The sequence below is a fragment of the Homo sapiens genome, chromosome 13 (assembly GCF_000001405.40).
Source record: "Homo sapiens chromosome 13, GRCh38.p14 Primary Assembly".
NCBI classification, from domain to species: domain Eukaryota; kingdom Metazoa; phylum Chordata; class Mammalia; order Primates; family Hominidae; genus Homo; species Homo sapiens.
In genome coordinates this window covers 50,803,584-50,827,217 of record NC_000013.11, presented here as the reverse complement: position 1 = coordinate 50,827,217, position 23,634 = coordinate 50,803,584, and the positions used below count along the sequence as shown (strand labels likewise).

Genomic DNA, 23,634 nt, shown 5'->3' with positions numbered 1-23,634 from the left:
CACTGCTGTTCAGCATTTGAGAAACATCTTGCTCCAAAATGAACCGTCATTCATTTACCACATTTAGATGTCCTAAACTCCACGTTCGTTTTTATAATTTTTGTTTTGAACAATGAATTCTTTAGATTTATACCATGTGTTTGAGTTTCTTTGTTCACTGTTGCATCCTGAATCTCAGCCATTTTCAGTTGAATTTCCTCTCAGAATTATGTCTTCAGAAATATCTAACTGTGAGAGTCTATTAGTGGTAATTCTGCCCTTTTAAATGAGAGCATATTTATTTTTCCCTGAGTTTTAAATGATAGTTTGGTAGGAATAAAAAAAAAATTCTAGGTTGACAGTTATTTGAAGCTATTATTCCATTGTCTTCTCTATTGTTGTGGTGAGAAATCAGCTGCTGTCTTGTCATTCGTTGAAGTCCATCTGTATTTTTCTTTCTGATTGCCTTTAAGAGTAATTTTGCCTCGATGAGTTTAGATTTGGATTTCACTTAACTTGTTCTCCCTATGACATATTTTACTTCCTTAATATAAAGATTTCTGTTTTGGATCTACTCTGTATAATTCTAATCCATTGTTCTCTTTGAATATTGCCTCTTTCTCATTCTGTCTGTTGTTCTCCTAGAAGTGTTCGTTGGACTTTCTCATTCTGTCATCCATGTTGTTCAACTTCTCATTCATATTTCCCACATCTTCAACTTGTAATCTTGCATTCTAAGGTATTTTTTTCATATTTATTATCTGGTTTCCTCATCCTCACTTTATATATATTTAATCAGGTGTTTAAGCTGTCAATTAGGTTTTAAATTTCTACTATAATTATCATTTTTTAGAAGTGGATGGGCTTCTTTTGCAAGCCTGTTTTTTCTTAAAACGCTTTTCTGATTTCTTCTTCTATATCTTTAATCACTTAAGGCACAGGTCCCTAACCCCTGGGCCATGAACAGGAACTGGTCTGTGGCCTGTTAGGAACCACACCGCACAGTAGGAGATAAGCAGTAGGTTAGCAAGCATTATCACCTGAGCTCCTCCTCCTGTTGTATCAGCAGCAGCATTAGATTCTCATAGGAGCACAAACCCTATTGTGAATTGAGCATGAGAAGGATCTAGGTTGTGTGCTCCTTCTCACAGGTGGGAATTGAACAATGAGAACACCTGGACACCGGGTGGGGAACATCACACATCGGGGCCTGTCGTGGGGTCGGGGGAGGGGGGAGGGATAGCATTAGGAGATATACCTAATGTAAATGACGAGTTAATGGGTGCAGCACACCAACATGGCACATGTATACGTATGTAACAAACCTGCACGTTGTGCACATGTACCCTAGAACTTAAAGTATAATAAAAAATAATAATCTTAGTTCAATTTGTTGTTAAGAAAAGCACTAGGTGTTCCTGTTAATATCTGCAAGAATGATTGCACTTAAATATCATTGTAAAACTAGGGCTAAGAGAATGAAGATTTAACAGAGAAATTCCAGCCACTCATCATCAGATAATAGGTGGCTAATACAACAAGTAAAATATTAGAAATTTTTAGAGTAAATAAGAAGGCCTTATCGAAGCTACCAAATTCACACCACACAACTGGATATTTGGCAGTACTTTAGCAGCAAATTTTCTTTCTTCTAATTCTTGGTTTTATTAATTAAATTACAGAATATTTTCTGAAACTATACCTGACAGTATCCAGTATGATCAGGAAGTAATTATTGAGATGATTTTTTTCAAGAATAATATGTATTCATCCAATCATTCATTCAATCACTGAACACTTGTGGGCCATCTACTATATGCCAGCCAGAATAAGGTGACACATGAGTATTAAGGTGACACATAAGTATTAGAAATTAGTTTCTTTTCAAAGTACAAACGTACTGCATTTTCTCCTTTGTTCACCTTCAATTTATTATGAAATAGTCAGCATGTTGTGATCTGCCTTTCAGGAAAAAGATTGTGATTTTTTAAGGTGCATACTGGGTTTATTTTATAATTGGTAACAAGAAAATTTTGCCAATCATAAAATAATTTTTATTTGATAAAGCATGCAGAAATACTTAAGGATGACTAATTATTTGACTAAACTAAAAAAAATTATCATCTCATCTCTTAAAAAAAAAGAGAGAATCTAATGCCTGATGATCAGAGGTGAACAGTTTCACAGTTTCATCTCGACACCATTTGCCACCACCAGCCATGGAAAAAAATTGTCTTCTGCAAAACTGGTCCCTGATGCCAAAATGTTGGAGACTGCTGATTTAAAATATATTTTATAGTCTCTATTTTAAATTCTTAGAGTTTAATCTTGTCCCACATTGCATCTGCTATATCACGGTAGATTGTATTTTAAATTTCATATTTTGACTCCATCTTCAACATAGGCATTATGCAAATACTATTGTAGGGCAATGGTTGCAGACACGTTTCCCTGGAATAGGTTTTTGTTTGTTTTTGCTATGTGTTCATGGCTATTTCAGCCCAGTTCAAAATTTTAAGTTAATTTCTTAGCATGAGTGTTCCCAGGATGTTCATCTAGTACAGAGGGTAATTCCAAAGTCAAATGACTGTGTGATACAGGTCCTCTATTACACATTCTCAGGGACAACTTTACTCTCCATCCCAAACCCAGCCCAAGAGAGACTAACTTTCATTTCTTCATAGTATTGGTAGGCAGCTAAAATAATCTTTAAAAAATTTTTGGCTTCTGAGAGATTTCTCTTATTTTCTTGCAAGCTCAGAAAGGATGTTTGCCCTATTTTTATTTAGAGTTTTAGGAATTCAGTAGCAAAGAGAATTCCTTAGGAAAACTAAGTTATAGTTTTGTTGCCAGACCCAGAAGTCCAGGGGATGTCATTTCCCTATACTGAAAAGAGATCTTATATTCAGCATTATCTTTGATGTGGAATCATCCAAATGTACCATTTATTTGCAATGGATTTTAGAAAATAAACCATTTAGGGATTAAAAATATAGAATTACCTCCTTCTTTTAAACTACCTGGGAACTGTTCTTTCTAAATTGGCATTTGGGGATTTCTTGAGACCATGTCAATTAAATAACAAATTCTGTATTGGAATACTGAACTACCGAACACAGTGAGTATGGGATAATAGAAACACAGGCTATTTGTGTATTTGTCACAGTTCTTTTAGGAACAAGTAATAGAAACTCAAGTCCAACTGGGTTAAGTAAAAAAGTGATATTTATTGACCCAGATGGCCAAAAAATCTTGGGGTTTATTGTTCAAGTATAGCTAGAGCCACATACTCAGAAAGTATTAGATTAGAATCTGGCTCTTTTAATCTCTTGGTTCTCCTTTCTTCTGTGTTGGCTGCATTCTCATTTGGATGCTATCCTTATGGTGGCAAGATATTTTCCAATAGCCTCAGTTAAAGAGGATAGCAGATCCTCTTTAGGTCTTGTCTAGCAGATATTCTGGGCCTGTGGCCTATTGGCCTTGGCTTAGATCATCTGTCCATTCTGATCAGTCCACACTGTGATTGGCCTGGGCCCTGGAGTTGTGATCAGCTTTGGTCCAACTGCATAGGCTAAGAATGGGGTGTAGTTTTCCAAGAAAAAAAAAAACCAGAGTGCTGTCACCAGAAGAGAAAAGAATGGAAGCTGGGTAAGCAAAGTACAACAATTGGCCCCCATAACCTATCTAATTTCTTGTTTGTGTTTGTTGTTCATTTCAGGATAGTGTTGAGTTTAGAAACATCTGCAGTCATTTGGCTCTACAGATTGAAGGACAGCAGTTTGACAGAGACTTGAATGCTGCCCACCAGTGTTTGAAGACAATAGTCAAGAAGCTGATTCAGTCACTTGCTAATTTTCCTTCAGATGCCCACATGGTAGCCTGTGCTTCCTTGAGACAGATCTTACAGAATCTCCCAGACATATGAGTGTTAAAGGCATCGGGAGTAAAACCACAGCCAGCACTGTTAAGAGAACCAGATACCTTACCTTCCTAATTGAGTCAGCAGACAATGGATATTTTTATATCCAAAGGGGAAAGACTTGATGGTACGTGGAGCAGTCTGACCAGTGGCATCTGTAGCCTTCGGGATTATAGCATGTTAATGAAATTTTTTTAAAGCAGTAGTTCATATTTTTAAGTATATTGACCTATTTGCTGACTTTCTGATTGAAATACATTCTACTTTGTGAAGCTGATTTGATTATGTATGTATATATTTATTCATATTATTAGTTTTTATTGAATGATACCTTAATTTGTATTCATATTAATGTAGGTCTAAAGGGTTTAATGTGGTTATTTATATAATTAAAGTTCCATGGTTCTTAAAATTACCTTGAATGAATGAGATATTTGATAATTGCTTTGTTCTATTAATACTTACTGGACACTTCCTTTTATAAGAACGATCTTTGTAGGACTATATGTGTCAGTAATTATGAGCTTCAATCCTGACATTAATAACTTACTGTTGAGCAGAGAAGAGTTGCTTCTAAACCTTGTGCTTTTATATACTAATTTAAAAACTTAAAGTGATAGTGAGCTATGAAGTACCAATCATGTATGATATGTAAATACAAAGCACAGTATTATTAAAGTCTCATGTGGAAAAGTCTAGCTTTTACTGTTTCTAAATATTCTGATTGAAGTAGGAAATTCTTTAAAAAAAGGAAAGGAGTGGATCTACTGGCAGGTTTCCCAAACCGTTTAGAGCCGGGAAGAGAGAAGGTGATTTTTTTTTTTTCAACAACAGTCCACACATACTTCGGAAAAACTAAATTTCTTGTTGTTCAATGATGACTGTGTTGAGAGCCAAAGTAAAATGCTATTTTTTCCCTTAAAATTTTAATAGAAACAGCAACAGATTTAGAAAAAAAAGATTATAGTGATTATGTGCAGCTTGTTTTCTAAAAGAATCATCAACTGGGTCTGCGTGGTGGGAGTACAGTACTATTTCTAAGGTGTTAATAGTAATCAAAGCCTTTTTAATCTCACCCACTCTAATCCTAGTTGGTTCTAAATGTTTTCTTCCAGAATCTGAGAATGAAAGGTAAACATATTGCTTCTCTTTGGACGTAACTGACCATTTCCAGAGAAGGGAACTAAGTATATGATACTGAATTCTAAGGGAAAGGCAGATGCTCTGTGTGTCTGTGTGCATGCGTGTGTGTGTGTGTGTGCGCTCATGTGTGTACATGTGCATGAGTGTGTGTAGGGGTGAGGTGGGCCAGAAATAAAGGGCATTTATTTCTTCACTTGATCTTAGCCAAAAGGCTGAGAAGCGGTGGGCATTTATTTCTTGAGAATAATCTTTGCCACTCAGTTTTCCCACACCTAAGAAACGTTGTATTCTGGGGCGATGCCTTTCTTTTATGATGAGGTCTTTCTTCCCCCAGGGAAATTAGCTCTGTACTTTTCTTTCAAGACCCATCATTATTTATATGCTGCCTACCCTATTGTAATTAATGATTCCCTCAACGAATATTAAGGTTTTTTGTTTTTTTTTACCTTACCCAACGAAATAGTGAACATTTTTTATTTTCTGTCTGTGCTTGTGCTTTTTCCTCACTTTGTACCATGTTTCCTATATGCTGACAAAAATCCTATTCATCCTTCAAGATCTGACTTACCCACCACCCCCTCCATGAACCCTCATGGGCCATCCTAGCCAGAGGTGAACTCTTCCTCTTCTAAACTCCCATAGAACACATTTTGTGCTACTTTTCTGGTGTTTATCACATGATATCTTAATAGCATAGCTGTTGGTAAATCTGCTGTCAAGATTAGCTTGCTGAAGATAGGGATTATCTAGACATCTTTGTATGTTGCATAGCATCTACAGTTCTTAAAGTTCTATGATGCTACTAGAACTTTGGTTGCCCCTACCACCTTTTTACACCCCTCCCCCACCCCATGCTAACTTTGGTGTCTTATGTTCTATGGTCAGTCTGCATAATCAATTGGTGCCACATGCCACCAGTTCCCTTCCCTTTTTTCCCTTTGGTTGAATGCTGCTTGCAAAACTCAATCCCTGGTCAAGTCCAACTCTCTGCCTACTCAACGTCTGTAGAGGAGCTCTGAATATGGCTGGAGAAAAACACCCAGCCATACCAATCTCACTTCAGCTCGTGGCTCCCAGTCTCCAGGGACCCTTGGCATTCTCCATTAGCCCTACTTCATTTCCTAGACCTGCAATGTTCAGTATGGTAGCACTGGCCGCACGTGGCTACTGAGCACTTAAAATGTGGCTCATCTGAATTGAGATGTGCTGAAAATGTAAAATGCACACTGGCTTTTGAAAACTTATTACTAAAAAAAAAGAATCTAAAATATCTTGATACTGTTTATACTGATTACGTGTTGAAATGATAATATTTTGAATATGTTGGGTTAAGTAAAATATACCACTAAAATTAATTGTACCTATTTCTTTTCATGTTTTCAATATGGGTACTAGAAAACTTAATATTCCATGGATGGTTTGCATTATATTTCTATGAGATAGCGCTGTTCTGGAAAATCCACTAGATAATTCACTGCTGGCCTTAACAATTCACTCTCTGAAGGCTCTTCCACACCTTTTCAAACTTTACCCTTGTTTACTCTTCTCATTCTCAGCTGATGAGCTTGCTTCTGATTGCACAGGGACAATGGAAGCCATCAGAAGAGCATGTTCCTCGTCTCCCTAGCAGATCTACCTACCCTGAATCTGTACACAGGTACTCTGAGTTTGTTTCTGTTATAAGCAGGGCTGCCCTGCTCCTGTGCAAGGCTGGTTGGCCACTAAGGCTCTGGACTCTGTCCCTTCTCACTCACATTCATTCTCTTGCTTGCATTATCAATTTTTGCCTCTCATAATATCATTGAGTCAGCATGATATTATGTTATAGTATCTCCAATTCAAAAAAAAATTCCTCTGGCTACTGTTTTGTTTTTTTTTGCTCCTCTTAACAGCAAAACTCATTGGAATAATTGTCCAAATTAGTTACTTACAATTCTTTTTGTCCAATTCCCTTTTGAATCCACTCCAAATGGATTTGTGCCCACAACGCCATCAAAACTTCTCTTGTCAAGACTCCTGATGACTGTCTCACTGATAAATTCCATGGTAGATTCACAATCCTCATATTACTTGATCTATCATCAGCTTTTGATGCGGCTGACTATTCCCTCCTTGAGTCACTTTCTTATTTGTTTTCCAGGTCAGCAGACTTTCATGGTTTTACTTCTTCACTGGCTTACTTTCCAGACCTTTGTCCTGGTTCTTCCACATCTCTTGATTTCTTAATTGTGTAGTGCTTTGGGGCTCAGTTTTGGTCCTTTTCTCTAACTACACCTACTAGTTGGTGATTTACAATACTGGCTATTCACTAATGATGCCCAATGTATGTCTTTCACCCTGAGCTCCAGACTTCTGTGTTCAACTGACTACAGAATATCTCTACTTGGATGCCGAAAGTCATTTCAAATTCCAAAATGGAATTATGGATTCCCAAGACTGCTTCTCTGCCATCTTTCAAATTTCAGTTGGCTATGGCTCTTATACTTCCAGTCACACAGGCAAAAAACATTAGCGACATCCTTGACTTCCCTATTAGTGTCACCTAAATTCACTCAATCAGCAAATCCTGTTGGGTCAACCTTCAAAACATGTCTCAAATCAGATCACTTCTCACTACTTCCATAGCCACTATTCTGGTCCTAGGCACTATTGTCTCCTGTCTGGAATATTGCAGTACCTCTCTGAGGGGTCATAGTATTTCTCTGCTCTCTATAGTCTATTCTCCACACATCAGCCACAGTAAAAAACGTTAGATCAATTATGTCTCTGCTCTACCAATAGCTTCCCTTTTTACTCAGAATAAAATCCAAATTCTGCCTTTTGGAACCATCTCCTACTACACACCTAAGACACGAGTCTCTTTACCACTCACCTCTTCAAATATGACAACGATTAATCCTATGGCCTTTGCACTTGCTCTTCCCTCTGCCAGAACAACGTTTCTCATCTATTTCAAGGAGGTCTCTGCTCCAAAGCCTCCACATTAGGGAGGCCCTCTCTAGCTCCCTCAGCAAAAATAGCATCCCCTTTTACTCTCTTATCCCTATTCCCTGCTTTGTTTTCTTTGTTGCTCTCACAATGGCCTGAATTTGTTTATGTTTTTATTGCCTGTTGTAGTGGCTAAATGGTGGCCCCAAAAGTTATGTTTATCTTAATCAAAGGGACCTGTGAATATTATCATATATTGCAATAAAGTGAATATTACCTTAGATGGTAACAGATGTGATTACATTAGGGATATTGTGGTGAAATTGTTTGGGATTATCTGGGTGGACCCCAAATGCCATCACAAATGTGCTTATAAGAAGAAGGCAAAGGGAGAGAACACAGGCATAAGAGGAGGAAGCAATGTGCCCATGGGAACAGAGTACAGTGACGGGCCCACAGTCAGGGAATGCTGACAGCTACCAGAAGCTGAAAGAGGCCAGAAGCAAATTCTCTAGCGCCTTCAGAGGGAGTGCTGCACTGGGGCCATCTTGATTTGGGGCTTCTGGTCTTCAGAACCATAAGAGAATACATTTCCATTGTTAGAAGCCACCCAGTTTGCCGTAATCTGTTGCAGCAGCCATAAGAAATGAACATACCTGTTTTTCCTCTCTAGAACGAAAGCGACAGGGATGTTGTTCACAGCTGTATTCTCAGTACAGCAGCAGTGCCTAGAACAGGTTAACAGCTCAATAAATATTTGATGAATTAAGTCATGTGGTTAGTCACTTACGTTTTTTGGTAAATATCTAAACCCAAAAAAAGTGAAAAGAATCATTTTAAGGATTAAATTGATCAGTGCATTTTAGGCAGATGTTGAGTTAAAAACAATCATGTAGCAATCACTCAATAAATGATTAATAATTGTGATGGTCATCCTAACAATGACTGGGCCAGCCTGGGCCATTCTGAGTGGCCTTTTCTCCTCAATTTTCCCATGTAGTGCTTTTCCTTTTCTCTCTCACTTCAAAGTCAGACTGTGTTTTTTAAATTTAAGACCATGTAGTACCTTGGGTAATGTGTGACACGTGCATAAAGACAGGTTGTGGATGTCCTTTTATAACTCTGAAAAAAGTCACATCATCTGATGTTTTCTCCATTGAATTTCCTTAACTGTTTCACCCTCCTATTTCCTTTAATTCTTATTTTTAGATGATCTATAGTAATGAATTTCTGGATGGTGGAAACACATTTTCTTATAGAATAAAAGTTGGGGACATACTGGTGATCTTTTAGTTAGAGCTGGATACAGGAGTGACAAGATGGCACTTGTCCCCTTCTCTTGTCTTGAGATGCTCTCCTCACTGTATTCTGTAATTTCCTGGGAGCTCTAAGAGCTCCCAGATCAGCTTATCTTACATCCTTTTGACTGCCTGCCTTACACTGATTGAGGAACTATCTTCAGGTTTCTTTGGCTGTTTTCCATTTCTTGATTTAAATGAAGGCCTTTGGAGGGTAGGAAGCCATCTGGACACTTGCTTCTGACAGAACATAGGACTGCAAGAACCAAATCTTCCACATCTTAAAACTCCCTCCAACAGTTGGCTCCATTTTCCATTTTTCCTTCATGCTCTGGTGCCAGATCCTCATGCAGTAAATCTATCTGAGAGGAGTACAAATCTTGTAGATCCGTGAGTTTCAAGACACATTTAATTCAGCAGAACTTCAACTAGCAGTGTTCCATATCATCTGGGTGTCCTCATCAGGGATCCCAGTGTTCCATTCTACAGCCAAGAAATTACCACAGTCCTGGTTTCACTTAGCTACATACCAGAACCAAAGGTCTAGGCTGTCACAGCCCTAGTATGTGTTACCAGAGAGCTTTACCTTTGTTGGATGTGACATGTTTACTGCTTTGCTCAATAGAAATGGTATTTGAAGCTGATCCATAGTTTATAAATTTCTCTTTTTGCAGACAAGTTCATATCTGCTCCATGCATGCAGTCATAATTCAGGAGACACTTCCAAGGTTGGCAGAAATCTTTCCTGGCACAGAAGTACCAATAATTTGTTCCCCTTGACTTGGTGGAGACTTTGATAATAATCACGGCTTTATTTTCTTTTTCCTTAAAAAAAACCATTACAAAATGCCTATGGAGCATAAGGGTATCTGGCAGAAAAACCAATTCACAGGGATCCTAGAAACAAGTTGGAGAAGACAATGTTGGCTTAGATTGGTACAAAAGGGAGAGAGGAGGTTCTGCAAAGACCCCTGCCTCCCTGCACCTGTATTCCAGCTCTGAATGGAGCTCAAGAGTACAGGAGAACAGCAAAGCTTGGCGCCGTGTGTGTGTGTGGCGGGGGTAGTGCAGATGGAGGGAGGAGAGGGGAAGAGGTACACTAAGCCTGATGCTGTAATCCCAAACATGAAGAAAGCAGTGGGATAATCTGGAAAATTAATGTCCTTGGGATATCCACAGACCCACCTTAAAGAATTCCTCAAATGCACTTGGTTTGTTGATTTGCCCATATGAAAAAATATAGTTCTCCTCACAAATGACACTTTTCATAACGTCTGGGAAGTGCTGATGCTCTTTTATACACAGCCTCATTCAGTCCTCTGAGTTTGTCTTTGATACCCTCTTGTCTCTCATTCTTTAATCTTATCTCAGCCCCTCTCTGTCTTGGGCCACATTCCACAGAATTGTGGCAAAGGCATTTAGAAGGCTATTAATGGCATTATGTTTTTATGGCTAACTATTCTTTTATACATAAATAAAGTTAACAGACGTTGGTCTTTCTTTTCCTTCCATTTTTTATATATTCCCTTGCCTCTCTTCCAGTCTCAGTTTACATGATACTTGTTAGACACCTATTTCCTCTGTAACTCAGAATGGAAGTATATGAGTGTATAGCAGGATTACTGTTTACACTCACATTGCATTAATTGGCATACTCAGAGGGAATAGAAATAAGCTATTCTATCCATTTTCTTGCCTTGCAGCAAGTTTAATTGAAGGATGAAAGGGAGAGAATGAGATAAAAGTTATCTCATTCTGTTAACTTTATTTATGTATAAAAGAACAGTCATATAAACCATAATGGAATTAATAGCCTTCTAACTGCCTTTGCCACAATTACGTGGAATGTGGCCCAAGACAGAGAGGGGCTGAGATGAGATTAATGAATGAGAGACAAGAGGGTATTGAAGACAAACTCAGAACACATTTGATGTAATTGACCTCACACTTTTGCTTAATTAAATTTAAATGTTTACCATGATACCCACTTTATATTATAAAATTGTACTTTTCTGCAGCCCCCCCTCAAGAATATTTCCTGTTCTTGAAGCAAATTTTTGAATTTTTCATAAAAAAGTGGGGTAGTTTTGTTGGTTAGTAGTATCAGAAGCTCTAAAGTTAATGGGGCTGGAATTACTGCATAGTCATGAGGTTGCACTAAAAGTTGTTTTGCTCCTGTTTTCTGGGACTTGCTTCTTTAGGGAAAATGTTGTACCATTAAATCACAAAACATTCACAAATTCACATGCACCATAAGTGGGCCTGTGGGACAGTCTACTTCAAGTTCATCTAGAGCATTTAGAAGCAAACATTCCTACATTTCTTGGGCCTAGCTCAAATGCAAGCCACCCTCTAGTCTGCTTGCAGAATACAGCTAGTCCATTGTTTCCAGGTGTTTTAATGAATGAACCTGCTCAATAGTTGATCTAGTCAGTATAGAAACAATTGAAAAAGAATTGATAAGAAATCCAATAAACTCAGTAAGGCTCTGTATGTGTGCGTATATGTGTGTGTAATTTTTTGTATCAATAAACACATGATTTACAGCTGTTCCCTCTCATTTCCTTCCCCTCATTTCAGTAGACTGATATATAGGTTTAAAAGATCTTTGAGTGTAGAGATTTTTCTGTCGACAATGGTTATTCAAAGAAGTGAGAAATTTCAGAATGACGTGCAATTGTAAGTAATGATTACGTATCTAACATGCTCCCAAATGGACTTCTATGCATTAATTATCATTACATTACAATTTCCAAGATGTCTTTTAGCTACAGGTTTTAAACACTGTTGATAACAAATAAAATGAGTTCTTGGCGGGGGAAAAAGAGGGAGACTCTTAGCAAACCTGTGTCACAAGTGAAAAACAGTTTGCCAAATAAATAACTCAGACACTTTAATATTTGTCTAGATAACTATATCTCCATTTTTTACCTTTTATTTAAATAGAATTATAGATTTATAGATTCTGTTCATAAATTATTCACAGATTATAGATTCATAGTGGCAAAATCTAGTACATGGAGTCTGATGAATTCTTCACCCAACCCAAATGACGATAACTTGTATGACTGTAGTACAATAGCAAAACCAGGAAACTTACATTGGTACAGTACTGTTAACTGGATTGGTACAGTACATACACAGGATTAAATTGCATAGAACTACACACACACACACACACACACACACTCACATGAATACATGTAAAAACTGATGAAAACTGTTTTCATCAGTTTTCATGCGAGTGTGTGTGTGTGTGTGTGTGTGTGTGTAGTTCTATGTAGTGTATAGATTTGTATAACTACCACCACAATCAAGATACAGAACCTTGATTCCCCACAGCCATGTTGGTTGGCCCAATTGGGTTCTTTATGTTCTTTTTGTTTCTTTGTCTAATGTTAGACATGTAATCATTACTTACAATTGGATTGTAACTATCCAAACTATCAATATGCTAGGTATTATTGTTCATTATTATTAGTTTGTTGTTGAAACAACATAATTTATATAAATAAACTAAAACTCAACTTAGTCACAGGAACTAGACTCTTTAGTTCCTCTAAAAATATGAGTGAGTGAGTGGACGGCTGGCTGGCTGGCTGCCTGGGTGAATGGATAGATGGATGGATGGATGGATGGATGGGTGGATAGATGATTCGTCTGGGTTGCTCAGCATTTTATCAGCATTGATTCTGGCTTCCGGACTGAGACTGGATTACCTTGTAGAGGAGAGCTAAGGAATCATGGAGTCAACTTCTATTTTTTTCACTTTCTTCTTTCCAAAGTTCATTTCCTAAATAAAACTGTTTTTGTGAAATCTGTTGGCAATGTTCATACCTGAATAATGCCATGAAGTTGGTAAGCTCTATATTAAAAAATGACTATTATCAAAATCTTCATCTAAGTGGTTGAAGTGAAAGCAAGCATTCTCTCACCTTGGTCTGACAGAATGAACGTCTATATGTGGACTTCTCTTTCCCAAACCCATATCACAAATGGCATGAGCTGAATATTTCCAAGTGTGGGTCTGACTTTTAAGTTATTTCCCACATTTTCACTTCACAAGAGATCCCTTAAAATATTGTAGTGGTGACAATGACTTCACTCAAATAGACACAGAACCAGCCTTTCACGTTTCTAATGCATTTTTCTGGAGTTCAGACTAAAATATACTGCTTATTTGATCTATCAGGTGAGATTGGTAATCCCTCACTAATTTAAAAATTACCATGTTGAATTTGATCCAATTTAAAATATATATATTGCTTAAAATGCCATTTTTGTGATTTCTTTTTTGTTATTCTAGCCATGAAATACGGAAGCTCAGTCTCCTTAATATAAATGAGTTAATTATTTCAAAGATCAAAAAATGACATTTGCTCTTTATTTTTAAAGTAGATAATAATGCTTTTATGGAAAAAATCTCCTAGAATCTCTATTTCAATCTAATCAGAGGGAAATTTGTATAATTTATAAGAAATAAATACACTGTGGAAAACAGAACTATTGAAAAATAATGCATGGTATTTCCTAAGCTGAGCCATAACACATAGCACTTGTTTATTTTACCATATAATTCCAGGGTTATCACTTCGATGTTTAAAGCAAAGACCTCTATCAGTTATCTAAGTGTATATATATTGGATATAAAAAGTCTCAAACAAATTACAGAGTTTTTTAGTGATGTAAGGAAGGAAATTTAAACTCTCAGTCATCCTTCCTGAAGCTTACAGCATTTTAGTGAAACTCACATAGATCAATGTAAGTATATATTTCATATGACACAGCTCTCAAACTAGACACCAAAGAGTTCTGGTATCCATGCATTAGTCAGAAAAATCTTAGTCTACCGCCATACCACCTTGAACGTGTCTGGTTCCATCTGATCTTGAAAGCTAAGCTGGGGCGGGCCTGGTTAGTATCTGAATAAGGGATCACGTGGGAATAACGGGTGCTGTGGGCTTAAAAGAAATTTATTTGGTGTTTTATCTTTTCGGACCATTTGGGTTTTCAAAGGCAACAGCTCAAATCAAACCTTAAGCAGAAGTTTTAATTTTTAGAGGTTTTTTTCTGTCATTCTACAGTCTTTGCTACTTTCATGTTAAGAATTTCCTCCATTACTTTAAATATTTATTTACCTATGGCTTTACTGAGAAGACTTATACATATACATACATATGTATAACTGGATTTATACGTATATAGCTATATGTAACTATTTATACATATATAGCTATATGTAACTATTCACATATATCAACAAGTAACACCCTGAATCCTAATTGTGATTGATGTAAAGCTGTTTGTTTTTATAGACTGAAGTTTATGCCCCTCTGCAGACATAACTGTGGTAGGGGCTGTGCTACACCTCAGATGCATGGAGACAGGACCTTTATAACTGCTTTTCTTGGGCTTAGTTTTGAGTAAACTGTTGATCTTGTCATGGCCTTTCTTGCCTTTACCCTACATACAGACTAAAACTCCCCTTTGAAAATGTTAACCACATGTGCACACCCAAGTGGGATTTCTGTAGCACTAGCCCTGAGTCAGCAGATGTGAGGGCTGGAAGAATGTCAGTCAAACCCGAAATGCATCTTCGCCGGAGGTCTCAAGAGGAGTTTCTCAGAGCAGTTGGGATCAGCAGTGTCCACGGGGGCCCCTCAGGTCTGAGATCCAGTGTCCACTCCTGCAGCCCCTTCTACACACCATCAAGCTGCTTCTATATTTATGCATTTATATTGATTTTCAAATCGCATTTCTATTGAAAATAGGTTCTGCTACTGAAAAAAATACCGTAAATCAGTGAATAAAATAAAACAAAACACCCCACTGATATTCACCAACTTTCTTCATCTTACAGATTTTTTTTTTTTTTTTTTTTGAGATGGAATCTCGCTCTGTCACCCAGGCTGGAGTGCAATGGTATGATCTTGGCTCACTGCAGCTGCTGCCTCCTGGGTTCAAGTGATTCTCCTACCTCAGCCTCTGGAGTAGCTGGGATTATAGGAGTCTGCCACCATGCCCAGCTGATTTTTTGTATTTTTAGTAGAGATGGGGTTTCGCCATGTTGGCCAGGCTGGTCTCTAACTCCTGACCTCAAGTGATCCGCCTGCCTTGGCCTCCCGAAGTGATGTGATTACAGGCATGAGCCACCATGCCCAGACATCTTACAGGCATTTAAATATGAAGACAAGTCCAGTTCTTCTAACTCCTGATCCAGGCTTCCCTCTGTAAGGCCCTAAAGCTAAAACACATCAGGTTGTTGGGGCAGCTAGGCTTTCCTACTTAGCATCCGCAGGCCATGTGGCTAGTGCTGGAAGGCTGGCAATGGCTAGGAAGGGAGCCTCAATGCTAAACCCATTTGATGGGTCCATTTTCTTCCTGGACTGAGCCACAGAAGTTCTGCCAGGAACGTTTCACAGGTGAGCAGACTTCCCTCTCAGAAATGCCCATCATCACAATCCTTTCTGGGACAGGAGGTTTTAGCCAATTTTACGCATGTCTATTTAATAGATAGGAGTGCTATATAGAGGAGAAAGCTCTCAGTAAAGCCATGGATTGCTGGAGGCCTGAGGACTCCTTGTAAGAAGTCTGGCATATATGAGCACTCCTTCTTCTTGGTGTTCTTCCTCTCACCTCTCTGGTTACTTCTCTTTCTAAAGGCCTTCCCTCGGTTCTTAACTTTCAGTTTCTGCCTAAACTGTTCTAATTTGCACTTCCCTTTTCTGGTTAGATGTTTTCTAAAAAGGACCAAAAGTGACCTTTATAGTTTGCCAATTTAAGTCAGAGCAATAAGTTGCAGTTTTCTGGGGCCCTGACAAGCAAAAGTAGGGCTCTCCCTGGTAGGTGCTTCCAGCTGCCACGCATGCACACACATGCAAACAGATGCAGGCACACACATGCATACCCATACAAGCACACACATACACACTTTCCTGCATGGAACCCCTAGGAAGTCTGTGTATGTTCACTGGTACCACAGGTTATCCTGAAAATGTTCAGAACACTTTCTATCTCTGTAACACTACTTTTAAAAATGAATTTCTGGGGTCAAGATCATTAAAAGGAAAACATCATTAAGCTCTTTGAAATTCCACTGGGCTTTAAAGATTTAAGAATCCAGGGATGTATAATATAAATTTTGCCAAACTTTAAAATAAACTAAAAAATTCACAACAGTTGAATTCCTCCCAAGGCCCCTTTAACAACACTTATAGATTGCTGAGATACGGGTATGATGAACAGCTATGGGTATGACAGCTCTGCATGAACCACACACAACAAAACACCTCTGTGTTCTACAGCCCTTGGCACAAGACATTCCCGGTGGCCTTTCCCCTAATGCGGTGATTTCCAAATGCCCGTCTGTGGACCAGGGCCACTTACTGATATAGTCTTCAACTTTCAATAGCTAAATGAGAAGGATTGGGCTTTATCCTTTATTTTGAGGCTTTTATCCTTGCTTTTCTTGCCTTTCCCTTTTGGTATTAAAACATTCATATCTTATAGAAAGCAAAGGTAATAATAGATGGTAGAAACATATTGTTTTGTTTAGATGACCTTTCTTTGTAAAATTAAAAGATGGAAACTCTGTATTGGGTTTAAAACCAATTTTAACTCTCCATGAAATTTAAAGTCTGGAAAACATTTCTGTAAGGCTGGGCCAAATCCCAAACCTGGGGGAAAAATAGCTTCAGGAGTGAATGCCTACAACCACTGAAATTCTTAAGAGAATTTAGCTTTTTAGCTTTTTTTTTTTTTTTTTCCAGAATTTCTTTTCCGGAAAGTATAGAGAATGAGGATGGTAGAGGACTCATCACTATAGTTTCCTCTCTTTCCCCAACATCCACAGACGTATCAATGGTCTGAATGTAATGTCCTCTTAAAATATGAAGCAGAAAATGGGTTAGGTTAAAAAAAAAAAAGTGCTACCCCAAGCATCATGAGAAAGCTGCTTCTGTTGTTGATCTGTTCTTGTCCCTGCTGGCTCAAAGGATCATGTGTGACACTGTGTCACAAACAGAGTCCCTAACGTGTTTACTTTTCCCTGACAAATACTATAAATTTTCTTCTTGTGGTGAATGAACATTGTTTATGCAGCTGTGTTCCTTAAATCAATACTGACTTTCTGTCCCACTGTATCTTTTTTGCAAAGACACTTAAGGAGAACTTTCTCCTGGCATTTGGGGAGAACTTTTCAAGTCAGACCTCCTAATTAGGAACAATCATTGTGCACTGGATCCACCAAAAAGAAAAAAGTGTTTTTGGCCTGGTTAAGTGTTTCCATCTTGGGTTACAGCCTTCATCTAAAGCAGCTTCTCCCTTGGCCTGAATGGGCTTTTCCGTGGAGACAGAAGGTAAGATTGCATGCTGGCTGACCCAACAGAGATCCAGAACAAACTCTCAGGAAATCTCAACCCCTCAGGCAGTTGAATTCTCACTCCTCTGAGACCAGCTGAGGTTATTTTACTTCATTTAACTAGCCAGATGATAGGTTGACTGATGGGGCCATTATGTCCGGCGTCAAGTAATTTTAGAATGAAAATTATGCAATAGGTTAGACCACAGCTCAATTTTTATCACCCCAATTGCATACAACGTCCCTAATGTGATTGCCTTTGGGCTAAGATGGAAAGAAATGTTCAGTCCCAAAGTGGCTATATTTTCTGGAATAGATTGAGTGAAACGTCTCTTTTTTTCAACCAAAACACATGGAAATAAATTTCTTCGGTTTTACTTTCTAAATATCTGGTACAAGGTAAAAACTGCAGTGATTAATATGTCCTATGGGGCTGCCGGTTGGTGAGGAAAGGTTGTCAAACTTTAGATAACTCCACCAAGTTGCTATTATCATTTTTAGGCCTGGGTCAGTCAAGTAGGTAGACAAGCTTCTTGACATGTGGAATTGACTGGGACACTGGTAATTGATCCTATTTAAGAAAATGTCCTCAACGCAATGATTTTGCTTAAGTACCTTCTTATTTTAAATGTACCCCAGGACACCATAGTTGTTTCTCTCTGTGGCTTTTTAATTTCCCTTTTTGTTCCAACTGACCTTTCTAAGTTTTTTTTTTTCCTTCTGAAATAAAGAATTCTAAACTCATGATTTTACAGAAAAGCTCAGTTTGCAAGAATATCAGCAATTTCTTATTTAAATATCTTCTACTATACCCAATTGCTAGAGCATAACTCTTGGCTCCTAAACCCAATTTATAAATCAGTCATCCTTTCCACCCCTACTCACCCCAAATTTGTTCTTCTTCCTGGTGTTGCTGTCTTATTTCTTGGCACCCTCATCTACTCAACAGCAGCAGAAGAAAAGAAGAAACTTCATAGTTGGAGGATCTTCCTTCTATCTATTTATTCATCCATTCACTCAACACATATCTGTGTCAGATACTGCTCCAGGTACTAGAGACAAGCATGTACAGGACAGATATGGAACTCTGTTCTCACAGTGATTATACAGCGATTATATTCAAGTACATTTCTTCTAGAAACACTTGGTACTTCTTGCAGGGACCCCCAACCTCATATAAGTATATATACTTAAATATGTCTAACAGATCTTGATATATTACATATTTAAGTAAATAATGATAGAAAATGAATATTCTTACATGGATGCCCCAATTTCTTTCAGCTGCCTCAGATACTCACTGGATAGTGATAGCCAATGATATGCCAGACTTGATATTGATTGATAATGTTATGGCCCCACCAGGGAAGGTTAGAAGAATGGAAGCTGCTTATTTCAAATTTGAATGAGCAATCAAACATTCCTGTTCTGATTAATGTTTTTTTGCCTTGATGCACATATAAGAACTGGGACTAGCAGAAAGGGTTTAGCTTAGGACTGTGGAGAAATGCTTTTCTTCATTTCTGATAAAGCTCCATTTGCTGTTTGATCCTGTCTTCTTGATCTCCCAAGTTCCTGATAAGTCTACAAAGCTAAAACACTCACAGTTTGATCATTAGTAGTGTAGATCTTCCTCTCATTCAATGGAAGTCTTCTCTTGGAGGTCAGCAGTAAATGTCTCATTGCCGTGACCCACTGGTCAGTCCTTATGCCTCTTCATCTTTGCACATGCTGATCCCTTTCTCAGAAAGAAAGTCCCTTTAGCCAGGCATCATCTCCTTTGAGAAGCTTTCGCTGACCTCAGACTGGAGAACTCTATTATAGCATTTGACACTCCCCACAAAGGGGAGAACAGTAAGTTGCAGTCTGATGAAGTCATATGATGCCCGGGCTGGCTTATGAGTAAAGAGGTGAGAAGGTCTCCTACTGAAACAGATTTTCCCTCTTTCTTCCCCTTACAATAGCCTTTCAAAGTTCTTGAAATGTCCATTAAGGAATTCCTATACTTTACTTTTGATTTCACAATTTCTCAGTCAAAAGCTCAATATCATTGCATAGGATAATACATTACCTTAAAAAAAAAAACACCAAAAAAACCTCAACACTCAAAGATTAAATTTGTGTTTGGAAAAGGCTTTATAGGCAGTGGTACCTGGAAACTGGTGCTTGAGAGAAGCAGGAGGAGGGAGGGGAGATGTCAAATACCATCTTTTAAAAAATTTGTTTGTTTTTGATGACCATCTTTAAGAGATTTTTAAATGCCATGTATGAATTCAAGAAAGAGAATAAAGCAGGATTCTAAGAAATAATAGAAAGCTTCTTAAGGAAGCCGGTATAGTATCATTTTATATCTCTGATATTTCTGCTCATCTACTAAAGCTCATTAAAACCTATTAATGATTAGGAAATACTTATGTTTTATGAAATGTATAAAAAAATTTAAAGATAACAATCTAAACTCTCTTTAAAAATTAATTTTTATATATATCTTAACACCATTTAACACACTTAATTTTAGTACTTCTTTACTAAAGTTTGCGGAGGCAGACTACTCTTAAAAGTAGGAAAAAAAAAGGCAGAGGAGCAGACCGACTTTTTTTTTTTTTTTTTTTTTTGAGAGGGAGTCTAGCTCTGTCACCCAGGCTAGAGTGCAGTGAGTCTAGCTCTGTCACCCAGGCTGGAGTGCAATGGTGCGATCTCTGCTCATTGCAACCTCCACTTCCCAGGCTCAAGCAATTCTCCTGCCTCAGCCTCCCGAGTAGCTGGGATTACAGACTTCTGAAATTCTGAATAGTATAAATACAACTGGAATTACACTTTATTTTTAAATATACATTTCTAGGTAAAAACATAATTAAAGATCAAATAATTTTGGTTAAATTTTAAAATAAGCCCAATATGTAACTAAATAAGTCTTAGCAGAAAAATGTGAGGATAAAGTTGAGATTGCTCCTATTTTTTAATATTTATAGCATTTATTTATTTGTAATTACTTGTGAAGTTTCAAGTATTAAATATTACTCCGAGCTGTCTAATATGAGTCAGAATTTAGGGCAATAGAAAATATAAAACAAATTTTTCCTTACTAATACATGTTTTTTAAAAAGTTGTGTTTATGTTCTTCATTGAGAACTAAATAATCACTAAAAGAATTGCAGAAGTCATAAAATCATTAAATTAAGGAGAGAAAATCTCTATATATTCAGGATAAAGACATTTAGTATGCTAAGATCTCTATCCAATGGTCAAAAAACAACCAACCAAAGATGAAAATAAAAAATAATTTCTTGGAATATTATCTGAGGACTTCCAATTTTAACATGCAGAGCTAAGTGAGTATTTTCTTATTCATATCTCAGAAAAACCAACCAAAACATCAAGGGAATCAAGAAAAACAGTAATGCAAAGCTTATCCTTTGTAAAACTAGGAAACAACAGAGATTTTTAAATGAGAGAGAGAGAAGACTTAGTGGCATAGGACATAGGAAGTACCAGAGTGAAGATGCCTGTGGATTCTGAGCTTCAAGAAAGTCATAAAAGCACAATTCTAAGTGATACATACTGAAATGTAAATGGAGGTTTTTACAATAGAGGGCAGCAAACCACTTCTTATACAACCAAATAGTAAATATTTTAGAATTTCTGGGCCATATGGTCTCTGCCATAACTATCAAATTCTGCCACTGTAGTGCTGAAGCAACCATGTACAATAAACAAATGGGCATATCTATATTCCAATAAAACTTTACTTCCCAAAAAAGAAAGCTAGCCAATGGGCTATAGTTTGCTGATATTTGTTCTCTAGCAATAAGGGTGTGTCAGCTTGACTGAGTGCTTCCCTGGGCCTCAAAGTGGTGAGGTTTCTAGAAAAAGGAAAGGCGATAAAGCTGAATGAGAAGTGGTAGGAAACTGCACAAAGAAGACAGGGCATTGCTGAAAGCATAGCTAGACATGTGGAAGACGGAATTAGAAAAAAATGAGTAAAAAGAATAAATAAAAAAGATATTTAAAAGGGTTATATGATAGATGCAAAATATATAAAAAAATCAAACATATGCATAATTGGTGTTCTTGAAGAAGAAAATCAAAATAATAAAACAATAACTGTTAGGATTATTACACAAAAATTATGAATATAAAGCATTATTAAACAAAATCCAATTACACATTAAAAAACTAACACACCATGAGCAATTATATTTATTCTAGAATGCAAGGATGGTTCAATATTAGGAAATCTATTAATATATTTCTACCACACTAATAGATTAAAAATCATGTTTCTAGATGCTGAGAGACATTTGATAAACTCCAACATCCATTCTTACTAAACAAGCAAATAAACAACAAAACAAAACTGTCAATAAATGGCAATAGATACTTCCTTAACCTAGTGCAATATACTAATCTCAATCTAAAAGCTAGTGCTATAATCTATAAGGAAACTCAGAAATATTTATATTAATGTCAGGAACAAGACAAGAATGTCTACTACCACAACTATTCATAGACGTTGATCTAGACATCCTAAGCAATGCAGTTTTACAAGAGAGAAAGAAAATGTATACAAATTAGAAAAGAAAAAGACAAATAATAATTGCTTGTAGATTATAAAAGTAAAAATTTTATTATATAAAAAGTGAGCCAACTGAAAAAAAATATTAGAACAATAGTGGAATTCAGTTAGGTCTTTGGTTATAAAGTAAATATATACAATCATCATCCTTCCTATATTAAAATAAAAAAGGCATAATAGAAGAAAATACTTCATTTTTGATAGCAATATCACTAGAAAATATTTAGAATAAATTTGTCAGATGTGAAAACCTATGTAAAATCTTTAACTGGCTGGACGTGGTGGCTCCTACCTGCAATCCCAGCACTTTGAGAGGCCTAGGCTGGCGGATCACCTGAGGTCAGGAGTTCGAGACCAGCCTGACCAACATGGTGAAATCCCATCTCTAATAAAAATTTTTAAAAAATAGCTGGGTGTGGTGGTGCATGCCTGTGGTTGCAGCTACTCAGGAGGCTGAGGCAGGAGAATCACTTGAACCCAGGAGGCAGAGATTGCAGTGAGCTGAGATCATGCCACTGCACTCCACACTCCAGCCTGGGTGACAGAGTGAGACTCTGTCTCAAAAACAAAAACAACAACAACAGAAAAAAAAAAAACCCCATAAAACGAACAACATTACACTGTCTCTTGTGGACACAAAAGAACACTTGAACAGATATAAAAGTATATTATATTCTTGGTGAGGGAAACTCAGTATCAGACAGTTTTCAATTCTCTCTAAAAAAATATAAACATTTAATACAGGTCCTATAAGAATATCAATAAAATTTGGGAGTCTATATATGATTCTAAAGTTCATATAAAGGAAAAAAACAAGCAGGAATAACCAGGAAAATTCAGGGGAAAAAATAGAAAATACATGGTACTAGCCCTACCTGACATTAAAATATTTAGGACGTGATGACATTTCAATTAGTGGGAAAAGGGTGAAATTAATAAATGTTGTTCATTCTAGCCCTCTAAAAAATTAATATTGGATTCTAACCTCAGACCTTACATCAAAATGATTTCCTGATGAATCAAAGATTTCCACGTTAATAAAAATATAAAAATACTAGGACCCACCATGGAAAAGTTTTAAAAGTATTGTAGTAAGGAAGATCTCTTTAAGTCCATTACAAATCTCAGAAGTCATAACAAAAAACTGATGAATCTGACAATATAAAAATAAACTGGGCAAAAAATTTGCAGCTCACATAGTAGACTAGCACTGTCAATGGAAATACAATGTAAGCTACACGTGTAATTCTAAATTTTCTAGTAGTTAGTGTAAAAAGTAAAAAGAAGTCTGTTTTTTAAAGAAATGCATCACCTTTTTTCTTTAATTAAAGAAATTAATTTTAGTAATATGTTTTATTTAATTTGTCATATCAAAAATAATTTTATTTCAATAAGTAATCAATACAAAATATTATAAATAAGATATTTCTAT

At 37.0% G+C, this 23,634-nt stretch overlaps 1 protein-coding gene, 1 long non-coding RNA gene and 1 pseudogene across 3 annotated transcripts in view; 2 read left to right on the top strand and 1 right to left on the bottom strand.

The window, feature by feature from the left end:
- Positions 1-19,363, bottom strand: part of DLEU7-AS1 (DLEU7 antisense RNA 1) — a 42,051-nt gene extending 22,688 nt beyond the window's left edge. The window contains exons 1-3 of the long non-coding RNA NR_046551.1: positions 19,232-19,363; positions 18,512-18,678; positions 8,626-8,697 (exon numbers count right to left, since the gene is read on the bottom strand). This is a non-coding gene — a long non-coding RNA (DLEU7 antisense RNA 1). The remainder of the gene's footprint in view (positions 1-8,625; positions 8,698-18,511; positions 18,679-19,231) is intronic.
- Positions 1-23,634, top strand: part of DLEU7 (deleted in lymphocytic leukemia 7) — a 132,914-nt gene that overhangs the window by 16,722 nt on the left and 92,558 nt on the right. Inside the window, exon 2 of one of the 2 annotated variants that reach the window (NM_001306135.2) lies at positions 3,698-4,313. The exons of the other annotated variant lie outside the window; for it this stretch is intronic. Within the exon in view, the coding sequence (NP_001293064.1) occupies positions 3,698-3,904 (207 nt within the window). The 3' untranslated portion in view covers positions 3,905-4,313. Of the gene's footprint in view, positions 1-3,697; positions 4,314-23,634 lie in introns of those variants that run through there. 2 annotated transcript variants of the gene reach the window in all.
- On the top strand, positions 14,112-14,230 carry RNA5SP28 (RNA, 5S ribosomal pseudogene 28; annotated as a pseudogene).